General features: G+C 60.7%; 1 protein-coding gene across 16 annotated transcripts in view, besides 4 other annotated features; it reads right to left on the bottom strand.

Annotated features, from left to right (window-relative positions):
• The window catches only part of LLGL1 (LLGL scribble cell polarity complex component 1), a 19,241-nt gene extending 6,558 nt beyond the window's left edge, over nucleotides 1-12,683 (bottom strand). For 12 of the 16 annotated variants that reach the window (XM_011523854.3, XM_011523849.3, NM_004140.4 and 9 more), the window contains exons 1-15: nucleotides 12,555-12,683; nucleotides 8,280-8,377; nucleotides 5,742-5,823; nucleotides 5,516-5,646; nucleotides 4,382-4,540; nucleotides 4,143-4,305; nucleotides 3,910-4,045; nucleotides 3,615-3,669; nucleotides 3,325-3,479; nucleotides 3,006-3,229; nucleotides 2,781-2,848; nucleotides 1,558-1,711; nucleotides 1,379-1,483; nucleotides 545-837; nucleotides 104-251 (exon numbers count right to left, since the gene is read on the bottom strand). In XM_011523854.3, the coding sequence (XP_011522156.1) occupies nucleotides 104-251; nucleotides 545-837; nucleotides 1,379-1,483; nucleotides 1,558-1,711; nucleotides 2,781-2,848; nucleotides 3,006-3,229; nucleotides 3,325-3,479; nucleotides 3,615-3,669; nucleotides 3,910-4,045; nucleotides 4,143-4,305; nucleotides 4,382-4,540; nucleotides 5,516-5,646; nucleotides 5,742-5,823; nucleotides 8,280-8,377; nucleotides 12,555-12,635 (2,052 nt within the window). In that variant the 5' untranslated portion in view covers nucleotides 12,636-12,683. The remainder of the gene's footprint in view (nucleotides 1-103; nucleotides 252-544; nucleotides 838-1,378; nucleotides 1,484-1,557; nucleotides 1,712-2,780; nucleotides 2,849-3,005; nucleotides 3,230-3,324; nucleotides 3,480-3,614; nucleotides 3,670-3,909; nucleotides 4,046-4,142; nucleotides 4,306-4,381; nucleotides 4,541-5,515; nucleotides 5,647-5,741; nucleotides 5,824-8,279; nucleotides 8,378-12,554) is intronic. The other 4 variants (XM_011523850.3, XM_047436002.1, XM_047436007.1 and 1 more) reach the window with 1 other exon arrangement.
• Nucleotides 6,130-6,963: an enhancer, noted in NCBI's record as "H3K27ac-H3K4me1 hESC enhancer chr17:18134669-18135502 (GRCh37/hg19 assembly coordinates)". NCBI's record gives its function as "activates a minimal SCP1, AML or CMV promoter by ChIP-STARR-seq in primed H9 embryonic stem cells {active_cell/tissue: H9 hESC(primed)}" and the evidence as "EXISTENCE:reporter gene assay evidence [ECO:0000049][PMID:30033119]".
• Nucleotides 6,964-7,799: an enhancer, noted in NCBI's record as "H3K27ac-H3K4me1 hESC enhancer chr17:18133833-18134668 (GRCh37/hg19 assembly coordinates)". NCBI's record gives its function as "activates a minimal SCP1, AML or CMV promoter by ChIP-STARR-seq in primed H9 embryonic stem cells {active_cell/tissue: H9 hESC(primed)}" and the evidence as "EXISTENCE:reporter gene assay evidence [ECO:0000049][PMID:30033119]".
• Nucleotides 12,222-12,391: a silencer, noted in NCBI's record as "silent region_8271". NCBI's record gives its function as "represses an Ori minimal core promoter by ATAC-STARR-seq in GM12878 lymphoblastoid cells {active_cell/tissue: GM12878}" and the evidence as "EXISTENCE:reporter gene assay evidence [ECO:0000049][PMID:35858748]".
• Nucleotides 12,542-13,021: a silencer, noted in NCBI's record as "silent region_8270". NCBI's record gives its function as "represses an Ori minimal core promoter by ATAC-STARR-seq in GM12878 lymphoblastoid cells {active_cell/tissue: GM12878}" and the evidence as "EXISTENCE:reporter gene assay evidence [ECO:0000049][PMID:35858748]".

Genomic DNA, 13,021 nt, shown 5'->3' with positions numbered 1-13,021 from the left:
GAGGGAGGAGCACTGAGCTAAGCAGGCCCCAGGGGTCCCAGGCCAGAGCCAGGCCAAGGCACAGGACACAGGCACAGCTCCTGTGCAGCCCACCCCAGCTCACCTTGCTGCTGGCATTAGCAGCCCGCTTCTTGCCAGAGACACGACTCTTGCGAATGCGCCGGAAAGACTGGCGCAGTGACTTCTTGAGAGACTTCACCCGGGAGAGCGGACCCTCCATGGCCAGGGAGTCATTGGGGTGAAGAGTGCACCTGGGGGAAGACAGGGTCCAGTCGTGCTATAGAGCAGCCTCCTGGGGCAGCCACCACACTCCTGCTGGCCTGTGGAGGCACCCAGGTCAGGGAGTCACAGCCCCTCTGGCGCAGTCCTATGGACCCAGCTGCAGGTGGTACTGAGAATGTCCTTCTTGGAGCTGCCAGGTTATTTCTTATAGGGCAATGGAGGTTAGTGGCCTTTGCCACACCAAACACTAGAGGTGGAAACGGAAGCCCAGACCCCATCTCGCTGGGGGCTCCAACTGCCCAGCCGGCCCCACCCCACACACCTGGCCAGCACAGGGCTCTTGCGCTGGTAGTCGAAGAGGCCAAAGCCATGACTGGTGCCAAAAGCCACGAGGCTCCACTCGGTGTGGAGTGTGACAGCGGTTACAGCAGCTGGCGGCAGGCACTGCACCAGGACACGGGGCTGGAAGCCAGCAGGCCAGGGCAGCGGCCCCGTGCGTGGGCTCAGCCGCTCGTGGCCCTTCCATGTGAAGCCCTCGCGGTCCTGGAGGAGGTCTATGATGGCCACGCTGACCGCCTGCTCCACCGGCACATCACTAAGCTCCAGTACCAGCACCTGAGCCCACAGCCAGGCAGGGGGAGCATCAGCGCAGGGGAGGGGCCGCCCTGGGCCCCACTCAGCCTGGAGCCTCTGAAGCAGCCCCAGCCACCACCAAGGTGGTTCTAGGACTGTCTTCAGTTCATCAGCTAAACAAGCACTCACTGAATGCCTACTGTATACCAAGGCCCTGGCTGAGCACAAGGAACACAGTGGTGACCAAGACACACTAGTCCCTGCCCTCTGAGGGCAAAGTGTCCACCCTTACCCTGAGCCTCTATCTCCCATTTAGCAATAAGGACACATTGAGCACCTCCTGTATGTCATGTGAGTGCCGGAGCACAGCACTGACATGAGTTCCCTCCTCTCAACACTGTGGTTCCCCCAGCGACAGGCCCACTTCCCATCTGTCCTCACCCCAGCCAGCCCCACCCAGAGCCCTATTCCCACCTTGGCTTTTGCCTGTGCCAGTCCATCTCCCTTTCCACCAGACCCTCCAGCTCATCTCTTCCAGAAAGCCCTCCCTGACATCTCCAACCCAGGGGACACCCAGCCCTACCTGGCCTGCAGTGCCAGCCACCACCATCTGGGCTGTATACTTGCAGAGAGCAACCTTCTGCACGCCAAGCCGGGGATCGTCACTGTAGGGATCGAAGCAGCCCACCTAGAGGGATGGGAAGGAGTAATGAGTCCAGGCGGGGTCAGGACCAGCTCATCAGGGCCAGGGGAGGGGCCCACCTTGCGGAAGGGTGGCCAGTCGTCCTCGGCAGCCTGGGCCAGGCTGTCAGCGTGCTCACAGTCTGTCTGGAAGAGGCCAGCTGTGCTCAGCTTATAGAGCGGCCGCAGCGCCACACCCGAGGCATCCCAGAACCTCACGGTGCCGTCCTCATGGCTGCAGGGAGGGCAGATGTCAGGGCTACCCGAGTTCCTGGGAGGCCTGCACGCCCCTCCATTCACTCATCTGATAACCACTCACTAAGCACCTACTGCACGTGCCAAACACTGACCGGAATCCTACTTTTACAAAAAACAATAGGCACCTACTGTAGACAGCACAGGTACACTGTGCACCTGTTATAGGCCAGGCCACATGCACCATATGCACCTGGAGCCTTTAAACCAAACAAGGTGGAAATGACCACCCTGATTAACAGGAGGTGGCAAAGGGGGACATGTAGAGAACAGAGGACTTTGGGGGTTCTGCCTGCACTGGAGCAGCCATCAGAGGTGATCAAGAGTAAGGCAGTCACAGAACAGAGCATGGGGCATCCCGGGGGAGGAGCTGCATGGGGCCCAAGGCAGCCACGTAGGTGGAGGAGCAGGAAGACTACAGAGGCCGGGAGAAAGCAGGGAGGGGGCAGGGGAAGGAGTAGACAAATCTAGGGCGCAGCCTTGGGACACAGCTGCAGAGTCCAAGCAGGGCCCCAGGCGGTGGTGAAAGCCCAGAGCCAGGGCGTGAGAGGTGTGTGACTGTGGGGGTGGTTGAGACTCATTCCAGCAGCCCTGAAAGCCACGGCAAGCTCTTCAGCAGGGAAGGGCACACCAGAGTCAGAGGCCTGAGGGTCCCAGCACAGGCGGGAGTGGGGGCAGGGCAGGAAGTTGAGACCTGAGTCACTGGGCACGTCAGCGCCCGCCAGGCCCACGCTGGGCTCTCTGGCACCTTCCCTGGGCAGCTCAGCGTGGGCCAGCCCAGATTTTCCAGTCCCAGGGCAGGCAGGCTGGGCGGGTGGAGCCCTGGGGTTTGGTAGAGCTCAGTTCCAGGCCAAAAGGCAGATCAGGGCAGCACCTTGAACCAAGGTCCAGGGAGGTTTCATTCCAAACCACCTTGGGCAAGGAGGAACTACCTGGTCCCACCAGGGGCCAGGCCTGAGTCTCCTGGCACCTCTGCACCCACCAGGCCCAGGATGGGCTCTCCCCCAACAGCAAGGGGCCCACTCACCCACATAAGCACGCACACCTACCCCGTCAGCAGCAGCCCTCGCTGTGACGGCTCCTGGGCCAGGTTTCGGCCCCCAGTGATGGGCCAGCTCTGGGAGGGGGTGGCAGAGATGTATGCACAAGGTTAGGACGAACATCTTCTCCCTCTCACCCCGAGTATGGCACATTCTGACCTCCGGGCTTAGAACTGAAACTCTCCCCCTCCTCAAGACTCCACCCTGTAAGACCCCCCTGATCGCCGCACACACCAAGGCACTGGAGACAGGCTGGGGGCTCTGCTGCTCGCCAGCGCTCACAATGCGGGCCCACAGCTTGGCGGGGACACTGGCCACGTGGGCCGAGCAAGTGATTGCAGAGGAGTGCAGCGGGGCCAGGTATGGGGCAGGCACAGCTGGCCAGCCAGGAGTCTGCAGGTCCAGCACCACCAGCTCCTCTTCCAGCAGCACAGCCAGGGCCTGGGGGTCATCAAATTCTGTGGGACGGAGGGAGTATGGGGTGAGCACAGCCATAGGTGGCAGAGGGCACCAGGTGGGGCTGGGAAAGGGTAGGGTACGGCAGGGCACGCACCATCCTCGGGCCGTGTGCTGTGCACTGTGAAGAAGTCGATGATGCGGGAAGTGAAGTCCAGCGTCACCAATGTCTCGGCTCGAAGCACACTTACACAGTGGCGGTCACCATAGCTGGCACGGGGCATGCCACCGCTGAAGATGATAAAGTGGCCCCTATGTGCAGAGGGAGGTGTGCGAGCCATGAACCACTTGGGTCCAGAGCACATACTGCACAACCTAGGGAGAGCCCACCCTTCCAGCCCCCTAGCCAGACCCAACTCACATCGGACACCCACTCCCTCGACCTACCCAGATTCACAGTTCCGCCACAGAATCTTGTTAATGGCCTTGCAGGGAAAGGGGCCTGAGGGGTGGGACAGCGTCAGACCAGACTCACTGGTGGTTCTTAGCAATTCTGCCATTCCTGCTCTGCCCTCCACTGCTCTCTACCTTACAGCTGCCTCCTGCCTCCCCGGGAAGTCGGCGGGAGACACACTGCCCCCAGACCACCCCCTCGGGGAAGTCCCTCCTCAGCCAGTTTGGCTTGGCTCAGTGGTGCCCCCTCCCATCACCACCCTCTGGCTAAGGTGTCCCCAGCACTCACCGTAAGGTGTGGTGGCTACCGTGGGCTGCAGCGTTGGGAAGCTGCCGGCATCCACAGACCAGACAGCATAGCTGCCATCGCTGTGTGAGCTGACCACAGTGCTGCTATCACGCCCCCAGCATAGGCTCTCCAGCTGCTGCGGGCAGGCAGGGGCAGGCAGGCAGGCAGGCATGAGCCATGGTGGGCATGCACAAGGGGCCCAGGCTGAGGGGACACAGGCCTCACCTACATACCTGGTTCCCCAGGAAGATGTGGTCCACACACTGCGAGGCCTGGTTCCAGATGACCAGCAGGCCCCGGCTGTAGCCAATGAGAATCTTTGTGGGGTCCCGCAGGTGTCCCTGGAGTGACTCCACGGGGCCCAGTGCCTTCCCACAGCGGTAGTCGTCTGGCACGCTGTGGAGGAAGGCAGGTGAGCCAGCAGAACTTCCCGGGCACACAGTGGGTGCTGGGAAGCCCACCGGCCTCTTACCTGCGCAGAACCTCGCCTGGGGCAAGCGTCTGCCCCTCGAGCAGGGTCAGGGTGGTAACATCCAGGAAGAAGACACTGCTGCCCTCAGTGCCCAGGGCTGCTATGTCGCTGGCAGCCACCAGCAGGACCACTGTGACTCGGGTAAGGCTGAGCGGAGCACTGCAGGGAACAAGGGGAAGGGAGTGAGGGTACAAGCCCATCCACCTGCTCAGGTGGGGTGTGAGGGGCTGGGCCACTGCTGATAACTCATCACTGGCCCCACAGCACTCACCAGGGCCTACTTACAGAGCCACCCCAGGAAGACATGCATCATCATCAGCCCGCTCAATTATTCATCAGGATGTCAGCAGGGAGATGGATAAAAATAGGGTCCCTAGGTCTTGCAGACTGGGCTCCCAGCTCCTCCCACCCACCAGGAGAGGACAGCAGGAACCAGGGCACTGCCCAAGCCAGGACCAGGAGCTCCCCGCTGAGCCCCTCCTAGGAATCCCGCTGCCAGCGCTCAGACATCTCCTGACTTCGCAGGAGGGCCCCAGATACCCCCATCTGCAGAAGCTGGGAGGCATCAGGAATCCATCCCTGGGTTGGTACTCCCCTTTTCCAGCTATTTCAGGCAGGGCTGGGGAGAGAGATGCCCCACACTCTCACTCAGCTGGGGCATGCTGCCAGCGCCTTACCAAGCACAGCCCATGGGACCCTCCTTGCCCTCAACCCTGCCTATGCACAGAAAGGCCTGTCTCCCACCCACAACTGAAGAGGCCAGGGGACCCTTCCTGTTACTAACTGGCTTAGGCCCTGCCCCAAACCCCTAGACACCCCCATCATTGCAGTAAGTGTAGTGCCAGGCCTCAGGTCCTAGAAGTTTGGCATATAATGCATGTACCTCCTGCTGCTCACAATGTTAATTACCTGCTCACGTCGGACTCAACCCAAACCTCCCATTTAACCTGAAAAGTTCAGAGTATACCTCAGTAAAGCAGGGTCCAACAGCTGCAGCCTGGGACCCAGGCCCAGCTCAAGGCATCCCGCCCTGAACCGCTGCCCATCTCCATGCTGCCTTTGCACAGCAGGTTCCCACAGCCTCCCCCAGATCCTCCCTGCCCGGTGGCTGGCCCCAGCCAAGTTCTCCAGTACCTGGCACCATCAAAGCCGGGCCGGCTGGGCAGCTGGAAACTGAGTGCTTCTTCCAGGTGGGCACAGCCATTATGGTGGACAATCTCCCAGAGATGCAGACTGCTGTCATCAAGCAGGGACAGGAGGCGGCCCTGGTGTGTGAGCAGAGATGAAAACTAGGCTGGCCTAGGGGGATGAGTAGATATGGGGGCCACAGGGAGCTGGCTAGTGGGAAGCAGAGGCTCACCTGGCCGGTCAAGAAGTGCATCTGTGTGACAGTGGCTGCATCCCGGTGCAGGCCTGTGAACTCCACGCCAGGTGCACCATAGCTGAGGGTGGCAGGTCAAGGTGGAAATAGGCATAGACCAGCAAACCACAGTGAGGAAGACACCCAAGGCTCCTCCTTGACCCGGACTATTCCAGTGGGCCCCGGCATGGGCCTGACCATCCAGGAGTCCTCCCTGAAGAACGGAGGCCCCCTCCCTAAAGCTCCCACTCTGCACCCCTACAGTATCCCCAAGATCAGTGTGCAGGCTCCACTCACTCCTGCAAGTCAGGTGCTGCTATAGGACCTTCACTTCCCGTAAATTGGGCCAGTGACTCCCACTTTACAGGACTGTTGCAGATCAAGTGAGAATAAACACACCCAGCAGGCTTGGCCTCAGCCTGGTGAGAGGATGGGGCTCCGCTCCACTTCAGCTCCGTGTGTCTATGGGTTCTGGGAGCTGCGCCTTGCCGGATGGGATCAGGCAGGCCAGAGGTGCAAGGCCAGGCCTGGACAAGAAAGCCAGGGGGCAGAAGAGTCCAGGCTGCCTTTTCCCACAGCTTCAGGCCAAACTTCAGCCATGGGTAAGAAAACCCACCTCCTCTGGGCACGGTGGCTCGCTCCTGTAATCCCAGCACTTTGGGAGGCCGAGGCAGGTAGATCACAAGGTCAGGAGTTGAGGACCAGCCTGGCCAAGATGGTGAAACCTCGTCTCTACTAAAAACGCAAAAATTAGCCGGGCATGCTGGCAGGCACCTGTAATCCCAGCTATTTGGGAGGCTGAGGCAGAGAACTGCTTGAACCCGGGAGGCAAAGGTTGCAGTGAGCCAAAACTGTGCGACTGCACTCCAGCCTGGGCAACAAAGAGCAAGACTCCATCTCAAAAAAACAAAACAAAACAAAAAAAACCCACCTCCCTCCAAAGCAGGCAGCCAACAACTGCCATCATGAGGGAGGAGAGACTCCAGCCTGCCCATTTCACAGATGAGCACACAGACTTGGAGGGGGTGGATGACCTGCTTGAAGTGCCCAGTGTCAGTGCCTGAGTCCCGGCAACTCCAGGGCTGATGGTGGACAGCAGGGCCTGAGGGGGCCCCATGACAGAGGGTGCAGGGAGGAGTCAGCAACGTTGCCCCGGTGACAACACAGGAGCCGTTGCCTGGAGCTTGAGCTCAGATTCCCTACAGGAGCCTGGCGAGAAACTCCGAAGAAGGGACAAAAGAGGGGACAGGAGCAGCTGGGCGGGAACCAGGGTCGTCAAGGAGATGGGGCTGGCCTGGCAGGGGGAGGGGCAGCTTCTAGTGACCAGGGCTGGCCCTCTCCAGCCTCAGTTTCCCAACCCAAGGGGCTCCAGGCAGTGGCAGTCAGGGGAAAAAGGGAAGAGGACCCCGGGCTCCAGCCTCCTTTCTGAGGCTCAGTCTCCTCATCTGCACTTCAGGTTCTTTTTGAGCCTGAGGACAAGTGCACTGGAGACCCCAACACAGGAGGGACACCTGAAGGCTGCAGGGACACATGTGCGCACGCAGCGCAGCACCCACAGGAGTGGGAGCAGCAGGCCAGGCAGCGGAGCATGTGGGGCCCAGAGCACTGCCACACTCACCAACAGAGGCCGCTGGGGCCATGGGAGAGAAGGGGACATCTCAGCCCATCCACACTCCCCAGAGTAGGCAAAGAGCTCACAAACCACAGGCTCAGAGTCCCATCCCTGCCTGATCAGTGCCCCCAGTCCTGGGGTGAGGAGACCCCCATCCCACACCCTCCCCTTTCCCAGCACTGACACATTTTCTGGGAACTGATGTCTGAAACCAGGATACTGAAACCCAGAAGGCCACACAGGAGGGGTAGGGGTCAGCACCCCTCACCAAGCCGCCATCAGCCAGACCCTGGCACCTCGGCTTCCCCAAGAGCAGTTGGGGTGGGATTCTCCAGGGCTGGCAAGGAGACACTGAGCTGCCGGCCTGCCCCCACCCCCACCCCAGGCCTGCAGGGAAAATGCCCGCTTTGTGTGGCTCACACAGCCCATTGTGCAGCAGCCAGTATCCAGGTGGGGGCCGTGCTGTGCTCACCATGCCGAGCCTGGCACTGCCCCCAGGCCCCTTTGCTGAACACATGTGTCTTCACATTCACACATGTGTGCATCAGCTCACCAGGGCCCCCAGCCCACCTGCCACCCTCCATGGGTATCATAGCCCAGCCTTCTGCCTGGCCTCCCCAGAGTTGCTGGGACGATGGCAGGGTCGCCTAGGTAACTGGCTGGCTGACACGTAGCAAGGGACAGCTGTGCTACTGCAAACTGACCCCCCACCACCCGTCTCTCAGCAAAAGGACCCCATCATCTCTGCACAGTTGTCTCAGGTACAGAAGCCACGCCAACCTCCGCAGAAGCCCCCACTACTGCCCATCAGAGCACCTCTGTCCTCCTCTCGAGCTGGACACTGCCAAGACTGGGACCCCAGAGCACAGGGAACTACAGGCAGGTGGTCCTGAACAGACCCTGAACACCTGTCCTGCAAAGGATACATCTTGACAGCCCCAGACCTGGTGCCGATGGCCATGATGCGAAGTTCCGGGTCGAAGGCCAGGGCGCTGGGCTGATTGGGGAAGCCATGCTCCACAGTCTGCAAGGAGGGGAGGGCTGCTGGGGGTAAGCACTCCCAGGCACCTCTGCCATGGCCCACCCTGAGGCCCACCCCAAGGCAGCCTCCAGGGTCTGCAGCTGACACACTGGGGGTAGGAGGCAGGTCTACTTGCTCTGTGCCTCAGCGTCCTCAACTGTGAAATGGGTTATCATGCCTCCAGTTGGTGGGGAGGTGGCTAAACCCCTAGCCTCCACCATGACTGTACCGCGTGCATAGTCCACAGAGGCCCGCCCTTTGCCAAGCCCCTGTGCCCCTCAATGCACACAGGCTCATGTGGGCCCCACTGCATGGAGGCTCCAGCAACAAACAGGTGAAGCAAGGCTCACAGAGGTGCAGGCACTGATGAGGCCCCACCTGCTCCATGAAGGGCTCTGCACCCCATTTTTAGAGGCACAGACTAAAGCTTGCGGAGGAGTCCCGCAAGATGACCATGACACTCCCCAAACACAGGCCTGAGTGGAGGTCAGAGGTCAAGGGACAACATCCAGGATCAGCTAGGCAGAGGCTTTTGACTCCTCCCAGACACAGGGAGACAGAGGCCCAGAGAGGGGTAGCTTTCTGCCTGGACCCCGAAGGCATCCTCCCACCTCCCCACCTGCCAACAGCTGGGCAACATGACTCCCATAACCATCAGGGGCGGAGATGGTGTTAAGGGGGTCTGTGTGCCCAGAGTGTCGATGAAACAGCTCCCCACCCGCTCCCCTGCCCCTTTCACAGCACACCCTTTCTGCACCAGTCTCCTGTCTTTGGCCTGGCTGTGCCCTCCCTGGGAAGCCTGCACAGCTGAGCTCCAGCCCCATCCTGAACACCAGTGCAGGACACCCACGTGGGCCACTGGTAACTCCTTTTATCTTGTTGTTGTTATTTATTTTTCACTTTTACCACTGGTAATTCCTGACCCACTGCCTCAGGAAGATGCACATTTGTAAGAAACCCCAGTTCCCAGCCTGTAACGCGAACCTCCCTCCCTGCCTGCCTCTGCCCATCCAGGTGGGGACTGAGCCCTCTGGGCAGCTGGTTTGGTCACGGCCTAGCTGTCTGGCCTTGGGCAAGTCACAGTACTCTCCAAGACTCAGTACTCTCCAAGCTTCAGTCTCTCATCTGGGCCCTTGGGACAGTAAGCCCACCTAAGGACAGAGTTGGCGATTTGGCTGGGGCTTCTCTCTCCCACCAATAATACCACGCCCTTGCTGCACCTGACCTTGTCTAGCCAGTCCCTCGCTACAACCAGGGTCCAGAGACGGGACACTGCATCGCAAATCCCCACAGCCTTCCCATTTTACAAACGAGGAAAGGAGGTTACATGCACTGTCCAGCATCTGCTTCCCTCATACCCCACGTCCAGTCCATTTCTGAGCCCCATCAACTCAGTTTCAAAACACACAGAAGTCACCTCCCTCCCTGCTCCAGGCCCCACCGTCACGTGCCTGGATTGGTACTCACTACAGTCTGTTCCCACAGAGGCCAGAGGGATCCTATGAAAGCCACAGCCAGATCCTTGTCCCTCCCCTGCTCAGGATCCTCCTGGGGCTCCCAGCTAAGGGAGGCTTGTGCCTCAGGGCCTTTGCACCTACTGCCCCTCTGCCTGGAACGCACTTCCTCCAGCACTTCCTGTCGCTCAGGAGTAATCTCCTCAGAGAAGCCTCCCAAGGCCACCCTGGCTGCAGCAGCCGCCCTGGCCACACCTCTCACCCCCTCGCCCTACTTTATTTGATCCACAGCACTGGCTACCATCCCAACTACAGTCTATTTTACTTTTTTGTTTTGGCTTTTCACTGTCTCCTGCACAACTATATCAGCCACCTGAGTTAACAGGTATTTGTCCTTTTTGGTAACTACTGTTGTCCCCAGCACCTTGGAGACCTCACACACAGTGGGGCTCAGTATTAACAGAGAAGGCACATTCCACAGGCGATGTGTGGGCTGGACTGGGATTTGAACCCAAGACTCAGAGTCCAAAGTCCCTGCTCACTCCTGACCTGTCTCCCACCCCCTAAGCTCAGGAATCAGGGGCCTATTCCCTAGCGATCACCTATTACCCACTTAGGTGACTAAGTCCCTTCCCCAAGACCACCCCACTTTCCACCACTGCTGCCCACGCTTCATCCTCAGCGGAGGGCCCTTACTTTCCGCCACCCCAAGGCTAGCCAGAGTGGGCTGAGCTTCACCCCCATCTGTCTCCAGCCCCCACTGCACACCCCAATTCACTGGCTGAAGAAATGACATTTAGGCCAGGCATGGCAGCTCATGTCTGTAATCCTAGCACTTTGGGAAGCCAACATGGATGGATAGATAGCTTGAACCCAGGAGTTCGAGACCAGCCTGGGCAACATGGTGAAACCCCATCTCTACAAAAAATACAAAAACTAGCCGGGCATGGTGACACGAGCCTGTAGTCCCAGCTTCAGGAGGCTGAGATGGGAGGATCACCTGAGCCAGGGAGTTGTGAGGCTGCAGTGGACTGTGATTGTGCCACTGCACTCCAGCCTGGGTGAGAGTGAGACCCCATTTCAAAAAAAAAAAAGTGACATTTAGCCCTGTGCCTGTTGCTGCCTTTCCCTGAAGGGCCATTCTCCTCTCACCTCACCCTCACAGCCTCCCCGGCACAGAAAATAGGTGCCATCTGGGGACCACGGAGCACCAGCTTCCCTTCTGGGCCCCTCTCAGGTTCCTAGCAGGTTCTCAGCCACCGTGTGAGGGTCCTGGCAGCTCTCATCGGCAATCACTGCAGACCTAGGCAGGGAAACCCTGAGACATCCCAGTGCCTCCACTACTCCAGGTCCAGCCGTCCCAGAGCCTCCTCCAAGACAAGTGTCTCCTCAAGGCAGCCCAGGGCGCCTGGCACAACACTGGCCCAGGACCACAGCAGCCCCTTGGAAAAATCCCTGCCCCTCAAGGCTAAAATCCAACCCCACTGACACAAGAACTCAAGAAAGATATTGGTGCAGCTCACTCTGACTCCGGGCAAGCCGTCACCCCTCTCAGAACCTCAATTTTCTCACCTGTATTTTGAAGATAACTCTAATTTCGAAGAGCACTGAGAGGCTCTGCCATCAGTGGGCTCTGGGGTAAGAATGAGGACAAAACCAACGTCCCCAGAGCAGTGAGCCAGGAGTGGGCTGAGGCCCTGCTCTAACATCAGTGCAGAGGGAGGCGGGGGCTGAGGCGGCCCCTTTCCCTGGCCCCTAGTGTCCCACTCCGGGAAAGGAAGGAAAAGCCTCCACCTCACTCCACCTTGGTGCAGAAAGGCAGGACAGCTGGCCCATGTGGCAGAGGGAGCCAGGGCCCACAGTATGGAGAAAAGTAGCCTCATTTCACAGCTAGGGAAACTGAGGCCCCACGATGCGAAGTGCAGTGTAGTACACAGCCAGGCATGTCCCCTGGACTCGGAGCCCCGGGCAGGGCAGAGCAGGGCAAGGCAGAGCCTGGAGCAGTGGGGGAAGGAAGGAGAGGCTCCTTGAAGGGATTTCCCAGCCGCACCCCCCACAGCTGCCTCGCCCCCACTAACTCTCTCACCCTCCTGGGTGCCAAAGCACAAAACAAACCGGGCCCCAGGGCTGTCCCAAGGGCCGAGCAGGGACGCAATGGAGCCCCTAAGAAAAAGGATAAAGAGACAGAAGTGAGCGACAGAGGTCGAGAGACTCCACAGAGACAGAGAGAGAGACACGCAGGGAGAGACAGGCAAAGAAGACTCAGAGACGCACAGGCAGCAAGAGAAATGAGAGGCAGAGAGATAAAGGGAGACAGGCAGAGATAGGAAGGGGCAGAGGCAGAGACACCCCCACCACACACACAGGCACAACTGGGGCGAGACAGCCGGTCAGCGGCGGAGAAAGAGGGACAGAGACCCAGAGACAGGCAAAGAGTCTCAGAGACAGACCCCCACACACACAGACTGGCAGAGCCAGGGCCAGAGCGGCCCGCAGAGACTCGGGGAGCAGACACGGAAAGTCGGCCGGAGACCCAGACCCACCCAGAGTCCGAGCCAGAGCGGGGCCCGCCGAGGGGGTGCGCGGCCCGGCCCGGCCCCGCCCCGCGCCGCGCTGCATGCCAGCCCCCGCCCCCCGGGCCCGACGTGGCTCCGACCCCGGGCCCCCAGCCCAGGCCCCCGTCCCGCCCCCTCCCGCCCGAGCCCGGGCCCGGGCCGCCGCCGCACCTTGTTGAAGGCGAAAAGCTCCTGCTTGAGCTTCTCGCGCTGCGGGTCGGCGCCCTGCCGCCGGAACCGAAACTTCATCATCTTGCGCCCGGCTGCAGGCGCCTCGCCCGCCGCCGCCGCCCGCAGGATGCGCCGCGCGGCCCCGCGGGTCCTAAGGCGCGGGCGGGGCGCCAGGCGGCCCGGGCGCGGGCGCGCGGGGCCGGGCCTGCACGGGGGTGGGCGCCGGGCGCGACGGACGCGCCGCCCGACCAGTGAGCGAGCCCGCCGTGCCGCCCGCCCCGCCCCTGTTGGCCAGACAATGGTGAACTGGGCCCCCGGGCTCGGCCGGGCTCGCGAAGGGACGCCCGCCTAGCATGCGCCGCGGCGCGGGGCCTGCCGGGACTTGTAGTCCATGAGCCGGGGCTCCAGCGCGGGCGGCTGGGGAAGCGCTTTGGAGGGGGATTGGCGCACGTTCCCGGGCTTGGAGG

The sequence above is a fragment of the Homo sapiens genome, chromosome 17, assembly GCF_000001405.40.
Source record: "Homo sapiens chromosome 17, GRCh38.p14 Primary Assembly".
Lineage (NCBI taxonomy): Eukaryota > Metazoa > Chordata > Mammalia > Primates > Hominidae > Homo > Homo sapiens.
Note: the sequence above shows the minus strand (reverse complement) of the source record. Positions and strands in the feature narration are given on the sequence as shown.